Source organism: Homo sapiens, chromosome 2 (assembly GCF_000001405.40).
Source record: "Homo sapiens chromosome 2, GRCh38.p14 Primary Assembly".
Lineage (NCBI taxonomy): Eukaryota > Metazoa > Chordata > Mammalia > Primates > Hominidae > Homo > Homo sapiens.
In genome coordinates this window covers 173525905-173550880 of record NC_000002.12, presented here as the reverse complement: position 1 = coordinate 173550880, position 24976 = coordinate 173525905, and the positions used below count along the sequence as shown (strand labels likewise).

Sequence of the window (24976 nt, the reverse complement as noted above, 5' to 3'; positions counted from 1 at the left end):
GAGACGGAGTCTCGATCTGTCACCGAGGCTGAAGTGCAGTGGTGCAATCTTGGCTCATTGCAAGCTCCGCCTCCCGGGTTCACACCATTCTCCTGCCTCAGCCTCCTGAGTAGCTGGGACTACAGGCGCCTACCACCATGCCTGGCTAATTTTTTGTATTTTTAGTAGAGACGGGGTTTCACAGTGTTAGCCAGGATGGTCTCGAACTCCTGACCTTGTGATCTGCCTGCCTCGGCCTCCCAAAGTGCTAGGATTACAGGCTTGAGCCACCACAACAGGCCTATATCTCATTTTTCATTCTCTCTATTTACCATTTAACTCTATTTGATACTTATTTTTGTTTATTTGTTGTTTTTCTTCTTCCAATAAAAGCAAGGACCTCCTCTGTCTTAACCAGTGACCTATACCTAGCTCCTAGAACTATGCTGAGTGAATAAACACTTTATTATTAAATGTTTCCCATTTCTGGAAGTCAGTTGCATCAAAGTATTTACAATACTTAAAATAGACATCAACATTTTGAAATGAATGTTGTCTAGACCATATGTTTTTTATTTGCTTAATGAAATGCTCCTCGATTCACATTCCTAGACAAGGTCCACATCCTCCAAGGCCCTCTGAGTCATCTCTGGAGTCTCTCTTGTCTTTGCTAGCACAACAAAGCTGTAGGCACCAGTGGCAGAATCAAAGTGGTAGGGCAGATGATAAGAAGGCTAACCAGGTGATGCCCAAAGAGAAGGAAAATAAAAATAACAAATGGATAATCAAGTAAAAAGAGCTAATTTGGTAAAAAGTTCTGAAAGCAATTCAAAAAGTAATCTTGTAAAATGACTAAGCAAAACATACTCTGAATAAATGTTTAGCCTCTCAAAGAGATTCCTTTCAAGGACAACTTTCATTAGAAGTGAAGCAAGATTTGTAGAAAATTTTATACCCATACATTTTATTCAATCTTAAAGCTGATAAAGGAAAAAGAAAATCAGCCAGTGACTAAGGGATTTTCGCATTCTTCTATCTTAAGAGAGTATAGAATATATAGCTTTTAATTTTATGGATTTAGGATTAAACTCAACATTATGGAACTTTCTATCACCTTCCAGCTGTAAGAGTCTGTAGTTCCGTGTGTGGCCATTGTTGGGCCATTTTGCCTTTGTATAAATGTGATAATAGATCAAAGTATTAAAGTGTACATCAGGATTTGGTCATATATTTTTAAGTCAGATATGTCTCTAATTGCCTGATGGGACTGCACTCAAGGTGGAGGAAGAAATTCTGTTTTGAAGAAGCAGAGTGCTCAAAAACTTGATTAACAGAAGTCCTGGCAGGGGCGGGAATAGCTGTAAGACTGGAGGCAGCTGGAGAGGACCCTGATTTGGAAAGGCAAATCTTCAGAGAGGTAAATAGGCACGTTCATGGCATCAATTTGTTACAAGCCATGGCCAGCACTTCAACCCAAGACCTCAGGCTTCCTGTCTAGTGCTCTACCTAACTTATCTCTACGGCTTTTCTGTTGTTATTTTAAGTCACTAGGTTGTGGGGTGGTTTGTTACACAGCATTAGATAACTGGAACACACTCATTAAGGGCAATTCTTAAAAAAAAAAAGGAAAGCAAGAGAAACAGCAAGAGACAGAAAGATGGGAGTGAAGAAGAAAGGGAGGAAGGGAGAGAGAGAAGGAGGGAAGGACAGAAAGAAATAAAAGATGAGAGTGTAGCAAACATCTATATTTGTTTCAAAAAAAGGACCCCAAAAGTTCCCCCCACCTTCCACCAAATCCTTTTAAAGAAAACCAAGACTCTCCCGCTAAAGCAGCCCTTGAATATTAATTGCCCTGAGGGAGCTCTTGCATCTGCTTTGTTATTGGAGAAATTAGCAGGAATCATGAAGATAGACATTTAGTTGCGGGCTTTTGCCCTTGAATGTTATCAGGTGATTGGTTACTGTGCGATCTTGTTGAGTGACCAAATGTACTTTAGAATGCTTTCTGGTGTCCAGGCATATCATTTATAGTTCACGAAATATGGTGATTGAGGTTATTTCTGCAAGAGGGTCTGTGAACAGGAGAGTTACGCTATGCTGTTAAGTCAAGTCAGAGGTGTCTTACATTGTTTCAGCTAGCAGTACCATTTCTCAGGAACATGAATGCAATGACTGTCAACGGTAGAATATTTCTAATTCTGAGACTACAGAACTCAGCCCTTTTGGGAATGCCTTGGGAACTCACTCCATCTCAAGGTCTTTCTTACAAACCACAATTTAAATTGCTCTTCAGACATAAAGATGTACCAATTAATTGAGAGTTTGAAGAGCAGTGTTAGATTAGGGAATAAACCTGCTTTTACTGTATTCCTTAAAACTTTCTATAATAATATTTTTATTTTCCTTTCATACCAACTGTATGATAAAAATATCATTAAACTACTCATTAAATTTCCTCATTCTCTAATTTACTCTCCTTATTCACAGTATCTCTGGATTAAACAAATGAGTTTTTGAAGCCTCTGATAGCTAGGTATTGCCCATTTTTAAAAAAATCAGTAGATGGATTTTTATTCTTTACTAATAAAGATAACTTACCACAAATACTGTTATTAAGAGAATTCATTCCTGGAGGATTTAGTTATCTACTGGGAAAAAAAAATAAAGTTTTCAACCTTGACATCTTTCTCCTCATCTTTGCCTCCTGGCAAATTTTGCCAATAAAAACCTGTCAGCAGTTCTTTCTGAAATTGCCTTGCCCAGGTCCCTATTACACAGAGTTAGGTTGTCCACTCCCTCATCACGAAATATGCCTGACATTCCTCCTCAAGATTAGAATATTTTCTTACAAATGTTATAATGAAATTTTTTTGTATATTGGCTATAAGTTTTTTCTCTTTTTCTTATTCCTCCTATCTGAGGTTTTGTATCCTTTGAACAGTATCTCCCCAACCCCAAAGCTACATTTTAAAACTACGATCTCTTTTAAAAATCCATTGTAATTCATTACGTGTTGAATGCTACATGCAGATTTCTATAAAAACTTGTGAGTAGTACTATTTCCACCAGCTCTTACCTATAACTGACATTATCATCTTTTCTAACCACCAAGAGTGCCATTTCTTCACCCTGTGTATAAAGCTCTTTCTCTTTTCTCTCAATAAAACTTTCAGGCAGTGCAGTTTTGCCCACTTCTCTTTCCCTTTCAGGGTTTGTTAACTGCTCTTGAGGCACTGAAAGCTTTTTCGTTTCTCTTTTACTTTCCTGCTACTCAGATACCAAGTAGAAGCTCTTTTACCTTCTTCTCTTCCACTTCAATCAGAACAATGGAGTGCTCCTCTGAGGTATTCGGCTCCGTCTGTGTGGGCGATCGCTAATTTCTTGCTTTTATCCAGAACTGCACCATGGGCACCTGTGCTTTTTACTGCAAGCCCGACTGCTTTACCATTTTCAGGAGTCCCCAGATTAGCACCTCACTTTGAATGCTGACAAAGATGCTGCTCAACACCCCCCCAGATGGAAAGCACACTGCCATTCATCAATCAAAGGAAATGCGTATGATTAGAACACATCACATTGATCAAAATGACTTTACTTCTCTCAGATAAACTCACAATTACTGAAAATGATCATGGAAATTTGCCACATCAGATACTCAAAAGCTCATCTTAGGAGAGTTTAAAGAATTTTTTAAAGGTGGATTTGTTTCTTAGAGTCTATTTCCTGCTGACACTTTATCTACAAATACACAGTGATTACAGTGTCTGATCAATTAATAGGACATGTTTTCTGGTAGCATAATTGGAGGGGACAGAGAAAATATTCCATATTTCTTGTTTGTTCATTTTGGTAACTGTGATTCATATGAATGTGAAGTTATCCCATTCTGATAATCAATAATTAGTAAATAGGTTATAATATTTTAAAAGACTTATATGGATTCCACATCTTAAAAAAGAACAAAAAAGGGAGAAATACTTCAAGTTCAATATGGCGGAATTATAACATGCATTTGTTTCCTTTTCTTCCCCAAACTTCTCTAAAATGACAATAAAAGAATGAAAAGGTATTAACATACAAGGAGAGAAAGGATAACAGAGGAAACAAAAGCAGAAGAGAGATTTCCACAGGCATTTTGAAGATGAAAACTAGATTGGAAAGCTGGTAATGGACTTAGCAGAGTGGAGGAAGTAACAAGTCAAAATGCTTCAGAGATATATCCATAAGCAATGAACCAATCTCTCTCCCCCTGCCCCTCCCTATCCCCCACCATCAATCCTATGGGACAGTTGAGGCTTATTTGGAGAAACTGAACAAAAGCAGCTTCAGATCAGGCATAAGGTTCAAGGTCAAACAGAGAATTACATAAAAACCTGTGTTTGGAACAGGGGGAGACTCAGCTCCTGACCTTGTCCTGCTCCCGAATGCCAGCAACCAGGTCCCTCATGCAAGAGCAGAGGACTCCTAAGGAAAGTTGGGCAGCCTCCAAGAAAAGACCTGAGAACCTGACATTAAGGAATCTCCCAACAGAAAAAGCCCTTAAAGCCAGACCACCCCACAATGACGCCCACCACCACCACCCCCACTCCAGATTTGCCAAACCATTGTTTAGTGCCTCAATCTTTAACAGAAATGAAAGACAGCAGACACTTGAGAAAAATCTTCAGCACATAGGATAGAGACCAAAATAAGCAAACAGGAAAAAGAAGCAGAGGCAATATAGGGAGGAGAAGAGCAAAAGGAACCTTAGGAAAAAAAAAAAAAAGCCAACTTCTGATTAAGCTAATGCATTCACAAAAGAAATCCAAGACATAAGGAAGTAAAGAATAGTCACAGGAAGAGAAAGACTTTTTGGCAATTAAAAGTACAGTAACTGAAATTAATAAAATTTAGTACAAGTTCTGCTCTATTTCATTGAATATTTCTGGAAACTCAAATAAAAATACAGATATGGAAGATAGCCAAAAAATAACTTTTAAAAATAAAATTAGAAGATCAAACTCGAAGCTCTTAGACATTATCCACAAAATTCCCAGCAACAGAGAACAGAGAAAACGAAGACAACAAAATTATCAAAGATAAGATACGTGAAAATATTTTAGAACTTAATGGCATGAGTCTCCAATTTCTTACTTAACTTCTCTTCTGGGAACTCTTAGAGAAAGCTAAAAGTCCACATTTCCAAAATTCAACTCTTGATTTCCCCTCTGAGCTGCTTCTCTTGCAGTTTCCTGTCTCCATGAAGGACAGCACCATTCATCCAGCTGCAGAAACCACAAACCAACGTCACCCCAGCCCAAGTTAGCCTCATCCCCTGCATGATCACTGAGGTGGCCTTTTAACTAGTTTCCTATGTACACTCCACAGAAAGTGCCTTCAAAAGGCAGAGTTGAAGATATTTCATGCCCCACAGTTAAAACCTTACAGTGGCTTTCACTGCTCCTGAGTCAGAACAAACTCTTTAACATGGCCTAGAAGGTTTTGCATGGTCTGGCCATCCACGTTTCTCTAGCTTTACTTTGTACGATGGTCCCTTTCAGTCTCCACCCAGCCATGTTATCCCCTTCTGTGTTCCCCTTACTGCTTATCTGGCAAACAGTAGACTTCCAATAAAGAATTATTGAAGGCATGATATCACACAGATACGGGCTCAACACCTAACGTGTCTTTAAACACATGAACTTCCTTCAGCCTCAGTTTTCTCATCTATAGACTGCAAATAAGAACAGCACCTACCCATAGGTTCTTATCAGGATTCAACAAGATAATGACAATAAAGAACGTATCTTAGTGCCTGGCACAAAATAAACACTCAGAAAATTTTAGTTATCTAGTATTCTGCAGAATACCATCTAAATATTCCTGTTTCCATTAGTAACTGATCATGCATGTCATCTGTTAATTAATATGAGCCTTCAAAAACTCTATTTATATTTTGTCTGTACAAATTCTTGGGAATAATAAATTTTATGACTTTATTGCCCTCATTGCAAAGTAGTTGATCATGCCAGAGGTGTGCTAGAGATGGCTAATCCTTGCTTGCAAGGGTAAATTGTTAACTTTTCAGGAATTTGGTGAGCTGGTTGTTAAACATGGCATTTGTTAAAAATTAAACCGTATAAACGTAAGATTAAAAGAATTATATTAAAGGCTGGGCATGGTGGCTCATGCCTGTAATCCCAGCACTTTGACAGGCCGAGACCAGTGGATCACCTGAGGTCAGGAGTTCAAGACTAGCCTGGCCAACATGCTGAAACCCTGTGTCTACTAAAAATACAAAAAATTAGCCGGGTGTGGTGGCACGCACCTGTAATCCCAGCTACTCAGGAGGCTAAGGCAAGAGAATTGCTTGAACACAGGAGGTGAAGGTTGTAATGAGCTGGGATCATGCCATTGCACTCCAGCGTGGGCAACAAGAGCGAAATTCTGTCTCAAAAAAAAAAAAAAAAAAAGAATTGTATTAAAAACAACAAAAGGCTAACTGAAGTTCTGTGAGGAGGAGAGATGGTGGCATGCTTTCTTGCCCAGGCTGGTCTCAAATTCCCGGCTTCAAATGATCTTCCTGCCTTGGACTCCCAAAGTGCTGGGGTTACAGATGTCAGCCACTGTATCTAGCCCATAGTGTTCTCTTCTAATCCTTTTTATTTCTATGAATTGTCTGCCCTATTGCTCAACAAGACAAAATTTCTGGGCTAGTGGCTGGAGGCTGGAGGAAGAATCTGGAGAGAGAGACTGTGGAAAAGGCACAGAAAGACCTTTGAACTAACAGAACATATTTATATGAGGGACTTAGGATCTTCATTCTGGGTCTTCCTCTGTCACCCAGGATGGAGTGCAGTGCTGTAATCTCAGCTCACAGCAGCCTCCACCTTCCAAGCTCAAGTGATCCTGTCACCTCAGCCTCCTGAGTGAAGATCTTTGAAAGATGGGAGTTAATTTATAAAAATAGAAAGCTAGAGAATTCCAGTGTTTGAAAGTAAACTTCTGATGGTTACTGAAATCCGGAACAGTGTTTCTCCATGAAGCAGAGATGTGATGCTGCATTAAGTTTATGAGAAACTGATTGCTTAATGCCAGCATGGTTTTTCTGTTGGTCTTATTGAAACCAGGGGCCACAGATTTTCATGTATACATTCATGCCCATTGTTGGTGTCCTTTCTCTAGGTCATACACTCTACAAATGGATGTTGTTTCTTCTTTCTTTCTTCCCTCCCTTCCTTCCATTCTCTAAGTCAATGGAATCAGTTAAACGAGCCAGGCTCTATGCCAGGGGCTGATGAGTAAATAAATAAATAAGACAAGTGCTCTGGCCTTTAAGGAGGCTCAATGACAGTTTTAAATGGCGCTCTGTTCATGGTGTAAGCAGGTGAAAAAGAGGGAATTGTTACTTCAATCCTGGGCGTTGGGGAAAGGCTTCAATGGAAGAGGTTAGTACTTGAGTTGAATCTTAAAAGATGTGTAGATTGGGGGTGAGATGGTCAGAGAGAAATGGGAAGAACATTCTAGTAAGAGGGATCAGCAAGAATAGCCAAGCCTTGGAGGAGGCAAATAGTAGGACATGTTATGGAAAGGGAAGAGGGCATTGCCTAGATGGAGTAAGGGGGTGATGTGAGGCCATTTGAGCAAGGCTGGGGAAGTAGGGGAAGTCAAGCCAGTTGAGACAGAGGGATTCATCACTGAAAATCCACTTCCAAGACCTGCACCCAACACAGGAACTGTGTATGGTTATCATGATTTGAACATTCCCAGCAGTTTGTCATGTAGTATTTGAGATTCAGGGCTTCAGGGATGCTGGATACTTTTACAAACATATTCCACAGTGTTTTATATAGGTCCCGGCAAGATTAACATATTGTTTTCTATGATGACAAATAGCTAACATGAAATGAGGATCAGTTTGATCTTTCATATAAGGTCTGGAGAATGCTTTTTCACAATTACCCCAGACCTTTTATATAGCATCTGTTTTTCAGTTCTAATGCAAAAGTATGTTACTGATATTGAATATTAGTGACTAGCAATATTTCATTCCAAATACCTATTTCCATCAAATTTCTTTTTTTTTAAAACTTTCATTTTAAGTTCAGGGGTACATGTGCAGGTTTGTTACATAAGTTAACTCATGTCATGGGGGTTTGTTGTACAGATTATTTCATAGGTATTAAGCCTAGTACCTATTAGTTATTTTTCCTGATCTTCTCCCTCCTCCCACCCTCCACTCTCCAGTAGGCCCAGGGGTCTGTTGTTACCCTCTATGTGTCTGTGTGTTCTCATCATTTAGCTCCCATTCATAATTGAGGATTTGTGGCATTTGATTTTCTGTTCCTGCGTTAGTTTGCTAAGGATAATGGCCTCTAGCTCCATCCATGTTCCTGCAAAGGACATGATCTCATTTTTTTTATGGGTGCAGAGTATTTCATGGTGTATATGTACCACATTTTCTTTAGTCTACCATTGATGGGCAGTTAGGTTGATTCCATGTCTTTGCTGTTGTAAATAGTGCTGCAATGAACATACACGTGCATGTGTCTTTATGGTAGAACGACTTACGTTCTTTTGGCTATATACCCAGTAATGGGATTTCTGAGTCGAATGATAGTTCTGTTTTTAGTTCTCTGAGGAATTACCATACTGCTTTCCGCAATGGTTGAACTAATTTACATTCCCAGCAACAGTTCCATTAAATTTCCCAAAACATAAATATGTAGTGCTTGCTATATTCCAAACAATGTTATACGCATTTTACCAATATTAAATCATGTGATGTTCTAACAACACAATGAAAGGTAGGCATCTTCATTATCCCTAGTTGATAAATGAGGAAACAGTAGTTGAGTAACTTGCCCAAAGTTAAAAGCTAGTGAATGATGCAGCTGGTAATTGTGTGCAGGCAACTTACTCCAGAGATGTTAGGCCTGATTATCACATAGCTACTCTTCCAATTTAGATTTTTTTTTTTCAAACTAAAAATCACTGGACAGATTTTTAAATTCTTTTGACCACTTGCTTAATTGACATGACACTACATTATATGAATATAATTCACATATACAAACATTACATGCCCATATGTGATACGTGATAGTTATTATAATTCAGTAGTTCTCAACCCTGGAAACACACTGAAATCATAAAGTGAGGGGTTTTTGTTGTTGTTGTTGTTGTCTTGTTTTTTGGTTTTTTTTTTTTTTTTTTTGAGACGAGGTCTCACTCTGTTACCCAGGCTGGAGTGCAGTGGCACAAACAAGGCTCATTGCAGCCTCGACCTCCTGGGCTCAAGCAATCCTCCTGCCTCAGCCTCCCAAGAAGCTGGGACTACAGGTGCACTCCACCATGCCTAGCTAATTTTTAAAATTTTTTGTACAGACAGAGCATCACCATGTTGCCCGGGCTGATCTCAACTTTTGGGCTCAAGCAGTCCTCCACCTTGGTCCCCCAAAGTGCTGGGATTATACGTGTGAGCCACTGCACCTGGCCCATGTAATGAATTTCTTTAAAAATTGTTATTGGCTTAAGCCCCACCTCCAGAGATTCTGATTTAATTACTTTAGGTGAAGCCTGGACATCAGTATTTTCAAAACTCCCCAGGTGATTCTAACATTCATCTGGGCTTGAGAACCACTGTACAGACCAATCATTTATGGTTGACTTCAGGCACTGTACTATGCATTTTACACACATTATTGTCCTTTCACGTGACAAGCTGATTAGATAGGGTATAATTATTGGTGTTTTACAGATGTGGAAATTGAGGAACCAAAAGGTTATATATAATTTGCCCAAGTTCACGCAGCTAGTAAATTGCAGAGACAGAATGTATGAGGTGAAACCACGTTTTCTTAATTATAACTACCATGCACAAAAATTAGTCTGTGTCATAAATTAATTTATCAGCATTCTGGAATTTATCTATTTGTATGTACATGTTAAAACTCTTAAAATCTGAATAATTTAACCAATTTTCCATTCGGTCTGTTAAAAATACCTTTTAGGCCGGGCGCTTTGGCTCATGCCTGTAATCCCAGCACTTTGGGAGGCCGAGGCTGGCGGATCACAAGGTTAGGAGATCGAGACCATCCTGGCCAACATGGTGAAACCCCATCTCTACTAAAAATACAAAAATTAGCTGGGCGTGGTGATGCATGCCTGTTAATCCCAGCTACTCAGGAGGCTGAGGCAGGAGAATAGCTTGAACCAGGGAGTCGGAGGTTATAGTGAGCCAAGATCGTGCCACTGCACTCCAGCCTGGTGACAGAGCAAGACTCTGTCTCAAAAAAAAAAAAAAAAAAACTTTTAAACTAAATTATATATCTATCTATTTCTATTATATACAATACAATATATCCTTTATATTATATAATATGTTGCTATATATGTCATGTATTTGTGATATTAACCTTTTCACTTCATCTTTTGTATTTCTACATATGAATATGTAAAACATTCTAAATAAGTTTTCAAATACATGAGTAGCTTTAAAAAATAATAATAAAGGTAATAAATACTCAAAATGCTTAACTTCTAATTGTTTTACTATTATCTATGTTATTTATGACTACGGTAGCAATGTGGTGAAAAATGACACTCCATTGCACATCTCTTCTCAATTCTACATGCAGTGATAGCATAGCGTAGTTTAAAATTGGCCATACTTGGAGTATTTACACCATGGAAATCAGCAACTGCTCTAAATCAAGACCTCCACCACCACCCCTGAAAGCTAGTTTTTAGACATTTACTAACACACCAAGGAGTAATACCCAACTACACAGACATCAGACAAAGACTTCAACATAGATGACAGCAACTTCTTAGCAAAGTCAATAGCTCTCCTTTAACTAAACATAATTCCCTTTGTCTTATTCATGAATCCTCTAGATCTTTTCTTAGAGAATATTGGCTTTAAGTTTATATACAATTTCTGTTAAGTTTGGCTATCAGTTTTGTTTCTATAGAAACAAATGAAGAGGGTGCACTCCTATGAGGAAGACATAATAGCTCAGAGTTTGACAGTCAACAGTTTGATGACAAAAAAGAGCAAACAAAGCCATGCAAAACTAGAGAAGGATAAATGAATCCCAGCAGTCCAAGGGTAGCAGTATAGAAAAGCCCCTGGGAGACTTCCTGTAAGACAACATGGAACAAGTGTTAATGATCCTAGCGGTGACCAAGAACTCTCGAGAAAATGTTTGCCATCTTCTACATACTGTTTAAAATAGCAGAATCATGTGTAATAGACATTTTAAATATCTAAAAATATTTTTTGACAAATGGTGCTGAGAAAACTGGATATCCACATGCAAAAGAATGAAGTTGGGCCCTTACCTTAAAGCATATGCAAAAAATTAACTCAAATAGATCAAAGATCTAAATATAAGAGCTAAAACTGTAAAACCGTTAGAAGAAAACATAGGGATAAGCCTTCATGACATTGGATTTGGCAATAGTTTCTTGGATATAACACCAAAAGCATAGACCATAGAAGAAAAAATAAGTAAATTGTACTTCATCAAAGTTAAAAACTTTTGTGCATTAAAGGACACTATCAAAAAAGTCAAACAGCAACCGATAAAATGGGAGAAAATATTTGTAAATTACATATTTGATAAGAAATTAATATCTAGAGTGTATTAAAAACTCCAACTCAACAACAACAACAAAAATAACCCAATTTAAAAGCGGGCAAAGACTTGCATAGACATTTCTCCAAAGAAGATATACAAATGGCCAATAAGCACATGAAAAGATGCTTATTCATTAGGGAAATACAGATCAGAGCCACAGTGGGATACCATTTCACATCCATTAGGATGGCTGTCACAAAACAAAACAAAATAGAAAATAGCAAATATTGGTGAAGATGTAGAAAAATCATAACCCTTGTGCATTACGGTTGGAAATGTAGAATGAATACGCGGCTGTAGAAAATAGTGTGGCAGTTCCTCAGAAAATTAAATACAAAATTACTACATGGTCCAGCAATTCCACTTCTAGGTATATACCCAAAGGACCTGAAAGCAGGACTTGAACAGATATGTGTACACTCACACTCGTGATCATAGCAGCATTACTCACAATAGCCAAAAGGTGGAAACAACTCAAATGTCTATGAAGGAATGAATACACAAACAAAATGTAATTTATATATACAATTAAATATTATTCCTTTTAAAAAGGAAGGAAATTTTGACAAATGCTACATGGATGAACATTGAAAACATTATGCTAAGTGAAATAAGCCAGATACAAAAGGATAAATATTATACGATTCCACTTATGCGAGGTTCCTAGGGTAGTCAAATTCATAAACATAAAGTAGAACTGTGGTTACCAGGGCCCGGAGGGAGGAAACAGAGTTTCTTTTTGGGCTGATAAAAAATTCTAGAGATTGACAGTGGTGACGGCCGTACAACAATGTGACTATACTTACTGCAACTGAATTATACACTTAAAATAGTTAAAATGGTAATGTTATATTATATATGTTTTACCACAATGAAAATGTGCCTTATAAGCACAAAAAACTATAACTTTGTTAAAGATGTGCAACTTAAAGCAGGCAAACTTCCGGTTTCCAGAATAATGCCTTATGTGGAACGTCACAGTGTCTGATAGAAATGATACATGAGATGTGGGATTTATGTATTAGAAATGTAGCCATCAACAGTGACATCCTCTATTACTCTAGAGCAAACATATGATCAGTATAAAGAAGAAAACAGTCATTGCAAGAGTTTGTGGAGGGAGAGAGAGGAAGAGCAGAGCTCGACGGGGCAGGGGACTGGCAATGGGTGGCTTCTCTCAGGGAAGTCAAAAAGGGGAAAGGTAAAAGAAGGCTAGTTATCCTTAATAATAACACCAGATGTGAACTACAGTATGACAGGAGTCACAAACAGATCCATGGGCTGGGTTCAAACACTGTTGGCTTCTGCAGCTGTTGCTATAGGATATCATTTGGGGAGTATTAGCCAACGTGCACCTCCACACCCACACCATGCACTGCCCAACCACTTCCTTGCCCTTTGGCACCTGCCCCATTTGAACCTTGCCCTGGGCTCATCCCTCAGACAGGACAGAAAGCAGCCATCCTCAGATATTCTTCTGGGGTTTTGTATTTCAATAGCTTATGTGCTGAAAGGAACACAAAAAATTTAAGGTTTTAGTAAATCATATTTGAGAGTTTAAGGAACATGCTCACTCTTCTCCGTCTCCTACCTCAAACAATTTGGAGACCAGAAATAATGTGTCCTGGCTATATTGAGAGACCACAGGTAGAGGGAAGGGAAATGTTGGAAATATAGATGCTGGTTGGCCCTAGAGAGGTGAGCTCTGCAGCAGCCACAAAGAGGTGCTGCATTATGAGTGTAGGTTGGGCAGGCTCTTAGACAGTTTTACAGACATTTTTGTCTGGGAAGGAGAAACCCTAGGCTGAAAAATAAATGATTGAAATCAAATTTTTTGCCACTTCAGTAGAATGGTGATGCAAAACAGAAATTAAGTTATAGAAAAATCAAGAAAGCTACCTATTTTTTTCACATGTGAGTTTGTGTGCTGAGATTTGCCCTTGGTACACACTCCCAGACGTTATAAGTCCAGGAAAACATGTAAAGTGAGCAGGGTATGGGGGCAAGCAGGAATTTTAAACTGTAGCGTATCTTTATAGAACCATCTCAAAAGGTAAAGGGAGAACCAGGACAGAGTGTAGCCTGGAGAACAAGGACCTGAACATGAATGGGAGGCCCACAATCTGGCTGTGGCTGTCATCAACATGATATCACTTCCATAGTCTTGGAGTAGAATCCTCATCCCTGACTTACCCTGGTTAAGGATCTTCTCTGCCCACAAACCCAAGCCCACTGAGTTCCATTTTGATTTCCCCAGTTTGGGTGATATAATGGCTTTTCCCTGGTTTGGGTGATATAACATGGCTTTTCAGGTCATACTTGACTTGTCTGATGAGTGTCTTTTCTATCTGTGACATAATGATTTCCATTTCCCGCATGTCTCCTGCTTCATTACAGTCTCATCTCTTTCAGATGCTTGAGTAACCACTTTATTGTGACCGTACCTGCTTCTTTCAACCTGTCCTCAGGATTAGGATCAATACCTGCTTGCTTGGCTTTTATTCAAGTGATGAATAGCTTTGGAAACTCTTATCTGGGCTGGTTTGCTGTATCTATCTGATATTCCAAACTGACCTTCAGCCTAAGAATCTTAAAAAATGTCCATATTTTAAGGAAAGATGGATGATCCTCTCTGTTTCAAATAAGAAGGAAAATCTTTTGATCAGACTGAGAGCAAAGAGGGAATTTGGTTCTTTTTTGTTTCAAGGAGTCCTTGAAGAGGTGTTAATGGATTGTTTTTCTTTCCTTTAATTATGTTTATGCTCTAAACAAGGTAAGGACCTGGTTTCGGGGAAGGGAAGTTTGAAGCAGCATGAGAGTGTCCTGGGTCTTAAATTAAGGCTATAAGCAGAACTTCTAAATGTCTTTGAAAAGTTCTCACCAAATTGTTTTCTACCCTTTCTTTCAGTCCCAAGAAATACTGAGATTTCAAGAAATAGCTAAGATTTCATTTAGATGCTCAAAGGAGGTCCCCAACCTGGAAGGCTTGGTTTTCCAGGTGGCTCATTCTTAGGGGTTTTCATGAGCTTTTTGCTTGAGCTTTTAGCCCCAAGGAGAGAAGAGATACCACCTAAAAATGGTCTTTTTCATCCCATCTTCTGCAGGTGGTTTTGGTGTTGCACTTAATTAGTTGTTCCCTCTTCCCAAATTATGATTCAATTCCAAGCTTGTCTTTCAAAATCTGTCCATTTGATCTAAATTTTAAAACACTTATCAGAGACCTAAGACATGCAGTATATAGAGCCAGCTGGAGGAAGCTAGAGAAGATCCCAAACCCCCCATGAAAGGTGAACTATTGATCTTGATATCATGAAACTTGGAAAGTAGAAGATGGGAAGTATGAAAATAATTATAACATGATTGTGTCATCAGAGAGAAAATAATGACTATACAAAATTTGAAGGAGGCAAAAGTTTTCAACTAACGGGTAGTTAGAAAAGAATCCGTAATACAGTGTGGTACATCATTTGAGCTGAACCAGAAGAATGGGTAAGATGTCAAGCGCAGATACAAAGTTGAGAGGACAATTTGTTGGTTTAGAAAATAAGATACAGCTTTCTAACTCAGAAGAACTAGGCATCACTCTCTGATGTAAACTGATTTATATATTGTTTTATGTTAGTAGTGCTGTTAAATAATAAGTAAAATCCTAAAAATATGACTATAAAGCAAATTTCTGCATACTACATTGAATGCTATTTTTCCCTCAGTGACTTATGTATTCAGATTAGAAATGCACTTCCACGGTTAGGATGAAGAGAACCAAATAACTTTTTAAAGAAATAATAGAAAGCATTATTCAATAACTGTGACAGATACAACATTAAGTAAGGCAAAAATCTCTGTTTCGAGATATATACAACCTAGCATGGGAAGCCCACAAATAACCATATGTATTAGTTCGTTTTCACACTGCTATAAAGAAATACCCGAGACTGGGTAAATCATAAAGGAAAGAGGTTTAATTGACTCACAGTTCCTCATGGCTGGGGAGGTCTCAGGAAACTAACAATCATGGTGGAAGGTGAAGGGGAAGAAAGCACCTTCTTCACATGGCAGGAGGAGAGATAAGTGCAGGCAGGGGAAATGCCAGAGGCTTATAAAACCATCAGATTTCATGACAGCTGACTCAGTATCATGAGAACAGCATGGGGAAAACCGCCCCATGATCCAATCACCTCCCTCCTTCAACAGGTGGGGATTACAATTTGAGATGAGGTTTGAGTGGGGACACAGAACAAAACCGTATCACCATACTACCATGTAAGTCTCCTTTCCTGGGTGATGCCAGATTCAAGAGCCTGGGAGTGAACTCTGCTTCCCCCACACCAAAAAAACAAAAAAATGCTGTGAACAATTCAGAGCAAGAACAGTTAGAGATATGGGAGGAGGTCATATAGTATCATGAAAGAGGAGGGATACAAACTTGAGTAGAGTTGGGGAACTACGGTACATTACGTAAATAAGTCAGGCAGAATAAGCTCTGACGTAAAGATCTATTGGGTGTTAGCCTTTGGAAGTCTCTGTGACCTTCCAGAATGTAAGAGAAGTGGTCATGGATTAAAGAGATGTCAGAAAACAGGAAACTGAGACAGCCAGTGCAAGTTGCACTCTCAAGAAGTTTGGCAGGGAAGAAAGCAGGAGCAGAGAAAGTGAACAGCAAGGGATGCCAAGAGCTGGGGATTTGCCTGGAGTCAGGTGGAGCCAGAAATGGACACACAATTTTTTTTTTAAAGTTAAAGGTCTGGAGGTCAAGATGAACATGAAGAATCAAGAAAGGTATGGCTGATGAAGTCATGATGACACCAAGGTACTCAGAATATGTGACAGGCCCACCCTTGAAAAATGAATAAATAATCTATTTTTCCCTACCCAACTCTGATACCTGTTGCAAATACAGTAGAGATCAAAAAGTAGAAAGATTTCAAATAAACAACCTAACAATGCACTTCAAGGAACTAGAAAAGCAAGAATAAACCAAACCCAAAATTACTATAGTAGACGGAAATAAATAATAAAATCAGAGCAGAACTAAACAAAACAGAGACAAAAAAAATACAAAGGATCAACGAAATGAAAAGTGTTTTTTTAAAGATAAACAAAATTGATAAGCAATTAGCTAGACTAACCAAGAAAAAAAGAAAGAAGACCCAAACAAACAAAATCAGAAATGAAAAAGGAAACATTACAACTGATACCACAAAAATACAAATCATCATTAGAGACTACTATGAGTAGAACTACACACTAACAAACTGGAAAACCTAGAGAAAATGAGTAAATTCCTGGACACCTACAACCTACCAAAATTGAATCGGGAAGAAATAGAAACAGACTAATAAAAAGTAATGAGATTAAAACGGTAATAAACAGTCTCCCAGCAAAGAAAAGCCCAGAACCTGATGGCTACATTGCTGAATTCTACAAAATTTACAGATAAAAAAGAACTAATGCCAATTCTCCTCAAGCTATTCCAAAAAATAGAAGAGGAAGGAATTCTTCCTAACTCATCCTATGAAACCAGCATTACTTTGATACCAAAACCAAACAAGGAATAACAACAACAAAAACCTTCAGGCCAACATTACTCATGAACATAGATGTGAACAATCTCAACAAAATACTAGCAAATCAAATCTAAGAGCATATCAAAAAGATAATACATTGTGATCAAGTGGGATTTACCTCAGGGATGCAAGGATGGTTACCATATGCAAATCAATAAATGTGCTACATCACATCAACAGAACAAAGAACAAAAATCATATTATCATCTTCATAGACACAGAAAAAGCATCTAATAAAATTCAACATCCTTTTATGACAAAAATGCCCAACAAACTAGGCATAGAAGGAACATGCCTCAACCTAATAAAGTCCATACATGATACACCCACAGCTAACAACGTACTGAATGAAGAAAAGCTGATAGCCTTACCTTTAAGAACTGCAAATAGAGCGGAGGAGCCAAGATGGCCGAATAGGAACAGCTCCGGTCTACAGCTCCCAGCTTGAGTGACGCAGAAGATGGGTGATTTCTGCATTTCCATCTGAGGTACCGGGTTCATCTCACTACGGAGTGCCAGACAGTGGGCGCAGGTCAGTGGGTGCGCGCACCATGTGCGAGCTGAAGCAGGGCGAGGCATTGCCTCACTCGGGAAGTGCAAGGGGTCAGGGAGTTCCCTTTCCTAGTCAAAGAAAGGGGTGACAGACGGCACCTGGAAAATCGGGTCACTCCCACCTGAATACTGCGCTTTTCCGACGGGCTTAAAAACCGGCGCACCACGAGATTATATCCGGCACCTGGCTGGGAGGGTCCTACGCCCACGGAGTCTCACTGATTGCTAGCACAGCCGTCTGAGATCAAACTGCAAGGCGGCAGCGAGGCTGGGGGAGGGGCGCCCGCCATTGCCCAGGCTTGCTTAGGTAAACAAAGCAGCCGGGAAGCTCGAACTGGGTGGAGCCCACCACAGCTCAAGGAGGCCGGCCTGCCTCTGTAGGCTCCACCTCTGGGGGCAGGGCACAGACAAACAAAAAGACAGCAGTAACCTCTGCAGACTTAAATGTTCCTGTCTGACAGCTTTGAAGAGAGCAGTGGTTCTCCCAGCACGCAGCTGGAGATCTGAGAACGGGCAGACTGCCTCCTCAGGTGGGTCCCTGACCCCCTGACCCCCGAGCAGCCTAACTGGGAGGCACCCCCAAGCAGGGGCACACTGACACCTCACACGGCAGGGTACTCCAACAGACCTGCAGCTGAGGGTCCTGTCTGTTAGAAGGAAAACTAACAAACAGAAAGGACATCCACACCAAAAACCCATCTGTACATCACCATCATCAAAGACCAAAAGTAGATAAAACCACAAAGATGGGGAAAAAACAGAACAGAAAAACTGGAAACTCTAAAAAGCAGAGCGTCTCTCCTCCTCCAAAGGAACGCAGTTCCTCACCAGCAACGAACAAAGCTGGACGGAGAATGACTTTAACGAGCTGAGAGAAGAAGGCTTCAGACGCTCAAATTACTCTGAGCTACGGGAGGACATTCAAACCAAAGGCAAAGAAGTTGAAAACTTTGAAAAAATTTAGAAGAATATATAACTAGAATAACCAATACAGAGAAGTGCCTAAAGGAGCTGATGGAGCTGAAAACCAAGGCTCGAGAACTACGTGAAGAATGCAGAAGCCTCAGGAGCTGATGCGATCAACTGGAAGAAAGGGTATCAGCAATGGAAGATGAAATGAATGAAATGAAGCGAGAAGGGAAGTTTAGAGAAAAAAGAATAAAAAGAAACGAGCAAAGCCTCCAAGAAATATGGGACTATGTGAAAAGACCAAATCTACGTCTGATTGGTGTACCTGAAAGTGATGGGGAGAATGGAACCAAGTTGGAAAACACTCTGCAGGACATTATCCAGGAGAACTTCCCCAATCTAGCAAGGCAGGCCAACGTTCAGATTCAGGAAATACAGAGAACGCCACAAAGATACTCCTTGAGAAGAGCAACTCCAAGACACATAATTGTCAGATTCACTAAAGTTGAAATGAAGGAAAAAATGTTAAGGGCAGCCAGAGAGAAAGGTCGAGTTACCCTCAAAGGGAAGCCCATCAGACTAACAGCGGATCTCTCAGCAGAAACCCTACAAGCCAGAAGAGAGTGGGGGCCAATATTCAACATTCTTAAAGAAAAGAATTTTCAACCCAGAATTTCATATCCAGCCAAACTAAGCTTCATAAGTGAAGGAGAAATAAAATCCTTTACAGACAAGCAAATGCTGAGAGATTTTGTCACCACCAGGCCTGCCCTAAAAGAGCTCCTGAAGGAAGCACTAAACATGGAAAGGAACAACCGGTACCAGCCGCTGCAAAGTCATGCCAAAATGTAAAGACCATCGAGACTACGAAGAAACTGCATCAACTAACGAGCAAAATAACCAGCTAACATCATAATGACAGGATCAAATTCACACATAACAATATTAACTTTAAATGTAAATGGACTAAATGCTCCAATTAAAAGACACAGACTGGCAAATTGGATAAAGAGTCAAGACCCATCAGTGTGCTGACTCAGGAAACCCATCTCATGTGCAGAGACGCACATAGGCTCAAAATAAAGGGATGGAGGAAGATCTACCAAGCAAATGGAAAACAAAAAAAGGCAGGGGTTGCAATCCTAGTCTCTGATAAAACAGACTTTAAACCAACAAAGATCAAAAGAGACAAAGAAGGCCATTACATAATGGTAAAGGGATCAATTCAACAAGAAGAGCTAACTATCCTAAATATATATGCACCCAATACAGGAGCACCCAGATTCATAAAGCAAGTCCTGAGTGACCTACAAAGAGACTTAGACTCCCACACATTAATAATGGGAGACTTTAGCACCCCACTGTCAACATTAGACAGATCAACGAGACAGAAAATCAACAAGGATACCCAGGAATTGAACTCAGCTCTGCACCAAGCAGACCTAATAGACATCTACAGAACTCTCCACGCCAAATCAACAGAATATACATTTTTTTCAGCACCACACCACACCTATTCCAAAATTGACCACATACTTGGAAGTAAAGCTCTCCTCAGCAAATGTAAAAGAACAGATATTATAACAAACTATCTCTCAGACCACAGTGCAATCAAACTAGAACTCAGGATTAAGAATCTCACTCAAAACCGCTCAACTACATGGAAACTGAACAACCTGCTCCTGAATGACTACAGGGTACATAACGAAATGAAGGCAGAAATAAAGATGTTCTTTGAAACCAACGAGAACAAAGACACAACATACCAGAATCTCTGGGACGCATTCAAAGCAGTGTGTAGAGGGAAATTTATAGCACTAAATGCCCACAAGAGAAGGCAGGAAAGATCCAAAATTGACACCCTAACATCACAATTAAAAGAACCAGAAAAGCAAGAGCAAACACATTCAAAAGCTAGCAGAAGGCAAGAAATAACTAAAATCAGAGCAGAGCTGAAGGAAATAGAGACACAAAAAACCCTTCAAAAAATTAATGAATCCAGGAACTGGTTTTTTGAAAGGATCAAGAAAATTGATAGATCGCTAGCAAGACTAATAAAGAAAAAAAGAGAGAAGGATCAAATAGACGCAATAAAAAAATGATAAAGGGGATATCACCACCGATCCCACAGAAATACAAACTACCATCAGAGAATACTACAAGCACCTCTACACAAATAAACTAGAAAATCTAGAAGAAATGGATAAATTCCTCGACACGTACACTTTCCCAAGACTAAACCAGGAAGAAGTTGAATCTCTGAATAGACCAATAACAGGATCTGAAATTGTGGCAATAATCAATAGCTTACCAACCAAAAAGAGTCCAGGACCAGATGGATTCACAGCCGAATTCTACCAGAGGTACAAGGAGGAACTGGTACCATTCCTTCTGAAACTATTCCAATCAATAGAAAAAGAGGGAATCCTCCCTAACTCATTTTATGAGGCCAGCATCATTCTGATACCAAAGCCGGGCAGAGATACAACCAAAAAAGAGAATTTTAGACCAATATGCTTGATGAACATTGATGCAAAAATCCTCAATAAAATACTGGCAAAATGAATCCAGCAGCACATCAAAAAGCTTATCCACCATGATCAAGTGGGCTTCATCCCTGGGATGCAAGGCTGGTTCAATATACGCAAATCAATAAATGTAATCCAGCATATAAACAGAGCCAAAGACAAAAACCACATGATTATCTCAATAGATGCAGAAAAAGCCTTTGACAAAATTCAACAACCCTTCATGCTAAAAACTCTCAATAAATTAGGTGTTGATGGGACGTATTTCAAAATAATAACAGCTTTCTATGACAAACCCACAGCCAATATCATACTGAATGGGCAAAAACTGGAAGCATTCCCTTTGAAAACTGGCACAAGACAGGGATGTCCTCTCTCACCACTCCTATTCAACACAGTGTTGGAAGTTCTGGCCAGGGCAATTAGGCAGGAGAAGGAAATAAAGGGTATTCAATTAGGAAAAGAGGAAGTCAATTGTCCCTGTTTGCAGACGACATGATTGTATATCTAGAAAACCCCATTGTCTCAGCCCAAAATCTCCTTAAGCTGATAAGCAACTTCAGCAAAGTCTCAGGATACAAAATCAATGTGCAAAAATCACAAGCATTCTTATACACCAACAACAGACAAACAGAGAGCCAAATCATGAGTGAACTCCCATTCACAATTGCTTCAAAGAGAATAAAATACCTAGGAATCCAACTTACAAGGGACATGAAGGACCTCTTCAAGGAGAACTACAAACCACTGCTCAGTGAAATAAAAGAGGATACAAACAAATGGAAGAACATTCCATGCTCATGGGTAGGAAGAATCAATATTGTGAAAATGGCCATACTGCCCAAGGTAATTTACAGATTCAATGCCATCCCCATCAAGCTACCAATGACTTTCTTCACAGAATTGGAAAAAACTACTTTAAAGTTCATATGGAACCAAAAAAGAGCCCTCATCACCAAGTCAATCCTAAGCCAAAAGAACAAAGCTGGAGGCATCACACTACCTGACTTCAAACTATACTACAAGGCTACAGTAACCAAAACAGCATGGTACTGGTACCAAAACAGAGATATAGATCAATGGAACAGAACAGAGCCCTCAGAAATAACGCCGCTTACCTACAACTATCTGATATTTGACAAACCTGAGAAAAACAAGCAATGGGGAAAGGATTCCCTATTTAATAAATGGTGCTGGGAAAACTGGCTAGCCATATGTAGAAAGCTGAAACTGGATCCCTTCCTTACACCTTATACAAAAATCAATTCAAGATGGATTAAAGACTTAAACATTAGACCTAAAACCATAAAAACCCTAGAAGAAAACCTAGGCATTACCATTCAGGACATAGGCATGGGCAAGGACTTCATGTCTAAAACACCAAAAGCAATGGCAACACAAGACAAAATTGACAAATGGGATCTAATTAAACTAAAGAGCTTCTGCACAGCAAAAGAAACTACCATCAGAGTGAACAGGCAACCTACAAAATGGGAGAAAATTTTTGCAACCTACTCATCTGACAAAGGGCTAATATCCAGAATCTACAATGAACTCAAACAAATTTACAAGAGAAAAACAAACAACCCCATCAAAAAGTGGGCAAAGGACATGAACAAACACTTCTCAAAAGAAGACATTTATGCAGCCAAAAAACACATGAAAAAATGCTCATCATCACTGGCCATCAGAGAAATGCAAATCAAAACCACAATGAGATACCATCTCACACCAGTTAGAATGGCAATCATTAAAAAGTCAGGAAACAACAGGCGCTGGAGAGGATGTGGAGAAATAGGAACACTTTTACACTGTTGGTGGGACTGTAAACTAGTTTAACCATTGTGGAAGTCAGTGTGGCGATTCCTCAGGGATCTAGAACTAGAAATACCATTTGACACAGCCATCCCATTACTGGGTATATACCCAAAGGACTATAAATCATGCTGCTATAAAGACACATGCACACGTATGTTTATTGCGGCACTGTTCACAATAGCAAAGACTTGGAACCAACCCAAATGTCCAACAATGATAGACTGGATTAAGAAAATGTGGCACATATACACCATAGAATACTATGCAGCCATAAAAAATGATGAGCTCATGTCCTTTGTAGGGACATGGATGAAATTGGAAATCATCATTCTCAGTAAACTATCGCAAGAACAAAAAACCAAACACCACATATTCTCACTCATAGGTGGGAATTGAACAATGAGATCACATGGACACAGGAAGGGGAACATCACACTCTGGGGACTGTTGTGGGGTCGGGGGAGGGGGGAGGGATAGCATTGGGAGATATACCTAATGCTAGATGACGAGTTAGTGGGTGCAGCGCACCAGCATGGCACATGTATACATATGTAACTAACCTGCACAAAGTGCACATGTACCCTAAAACTTAAAGTATAATAATAAAAAAAAAAAAGAACTGCAACTAAAAAAGGATGTCCACTCTTACCAGTCCTATTTAACATAGTCCTAGCCAGGGCAATCAGGCAAGGAAAAGAAATAAAAGGCATCCACATTGGAAAAGAGGCAGTCAAATTGTCCTTCTTTGCAGATGACATGATCCTATGTCTAGAAAAATCTAAAGAATCTACCAAAAACTCTTAGATTTGATAAACAAGTTCCGTAAAATTGCAGGATACAATATTAACACACAAAAATCAGTAACATTTTCATATGCCAATAATAAACTCACTGAAAAACAAATCAAGAAACAATCTCATTTACAATAGCTATAAAAAATACAAAATACCTAGTAATCAATTTAACCAAGAAGGGGAAATGCCTTTGCAGGGAAAACTACAAAGCACTGATGAAAGAAACTGAAGGGAACACAAACATGTGGAAAGACATCCCATGCTCATGTATTGTAAGAATTAGTATGGTTAAAATGACCATACTACTCAAAGTAATATACAGATTCAGTGAAACCCTGTCAAAATACCAAGGACATTTCTCACAGAAATAGAAAAAAAAAAAACTAAAATTTTTATAGAACCAAAATAGAGCCCAAAAAGCCAAAGCAATCCTGAGCAAAAAGAAGGAGGCTGGAGGCATCACACTACCTGATTTCAAAATATATTACAAGGCTATAGTAACCAAAACAGCATGGTACTGGTATAAAAACAGACACATAAACCAAAGGAACAGAATAGAGAATCCAGAAATAAGTCCACATATTTGTAGCCAACTGATTTTCAATAAAGGCACCAAGAACATAACATTTTCTTGTATGTTTCATTTATATTTATACAAGTATAAACATATTGTTGAATATTATGTAGGTAAACACCAGAAGAAGAACTTAACACAGAAATGGTTTTAAAATGATTAGGAAATGAGACCAGGCAGGGAGAGAAAGTGATCTTTTCATTTCCTTCTCATCTATACTGTTTGAAATGTTATTTCCATGTGCATGAATTATTTTATTATAATTATTTTATACATCACTAAGAAAAAAAGGAAACATCAGATAATTCTCATTAACAGACATGTTTGGGAATACCTGCCCTAGAGGACAGCTGAAGGCTTCCCAAGAGAAGCCAAAGGCAAAAATGGGAAACAGATAAGGCAGTTCTGGGGTTTTCAATCTAGACAAGTTTGAGGGTCAGGGAAGAAGGTCAAGTGTCTGGGAAGAGCCTCCACCAGAGTTTGCCGGTTTCTAATCTTCATTACATTGAAAGCCTTTATCCCTCTTGAGGTGGGTATATGTCTGTGGTCTGTGATCTGTGTTGGGAGGGCAATTCATCCCTGGGTGTAGACACTGCTTTGCATATCATTATGTACATCACATGCTTGCCTC

The 24976-nt window shown here is 39.1% G+C and overlaps 2 annotated features.

Annotated features, from left to right (window-relative positions):
* Window positions 17242-17822: an enhancer, noted in NCBI's record as "H3K27ac-H3K4me1 hESC enhancer chr2:174397787-174398367 (GRCh37/hg19 assembly coordinates)". NCBI's record gives its function as "activates a minimal SCP1, AML or CMV promoter by ChIP-STARR-seq in naive H9 embryonic stem cells {active_cell/tissue: H9 hESC(naive)}" and the evidence as "EXISTENCE:reporter gene assay evidence [ECO:0000049][PMID:30033119]".
* Window positions 17823-18403: an enhancer, noted in NCBI's record as "H3K27ac-H3K4me1 hESC enhancer chr2:174397206-174397786 (GRCh37/hg19 assembly coordinates)". NCBI's record gives its function as "activates a minimal SCP1, AML or CMV promoter by ChIP-STARR-seq in naive H9 embryonic stem cells {active_cell/tissue: H9 hESC(naive)}" and the evidence as "EXISTENCE:reporter gene assay evidence [ECO:0000049][PMID:30033119]".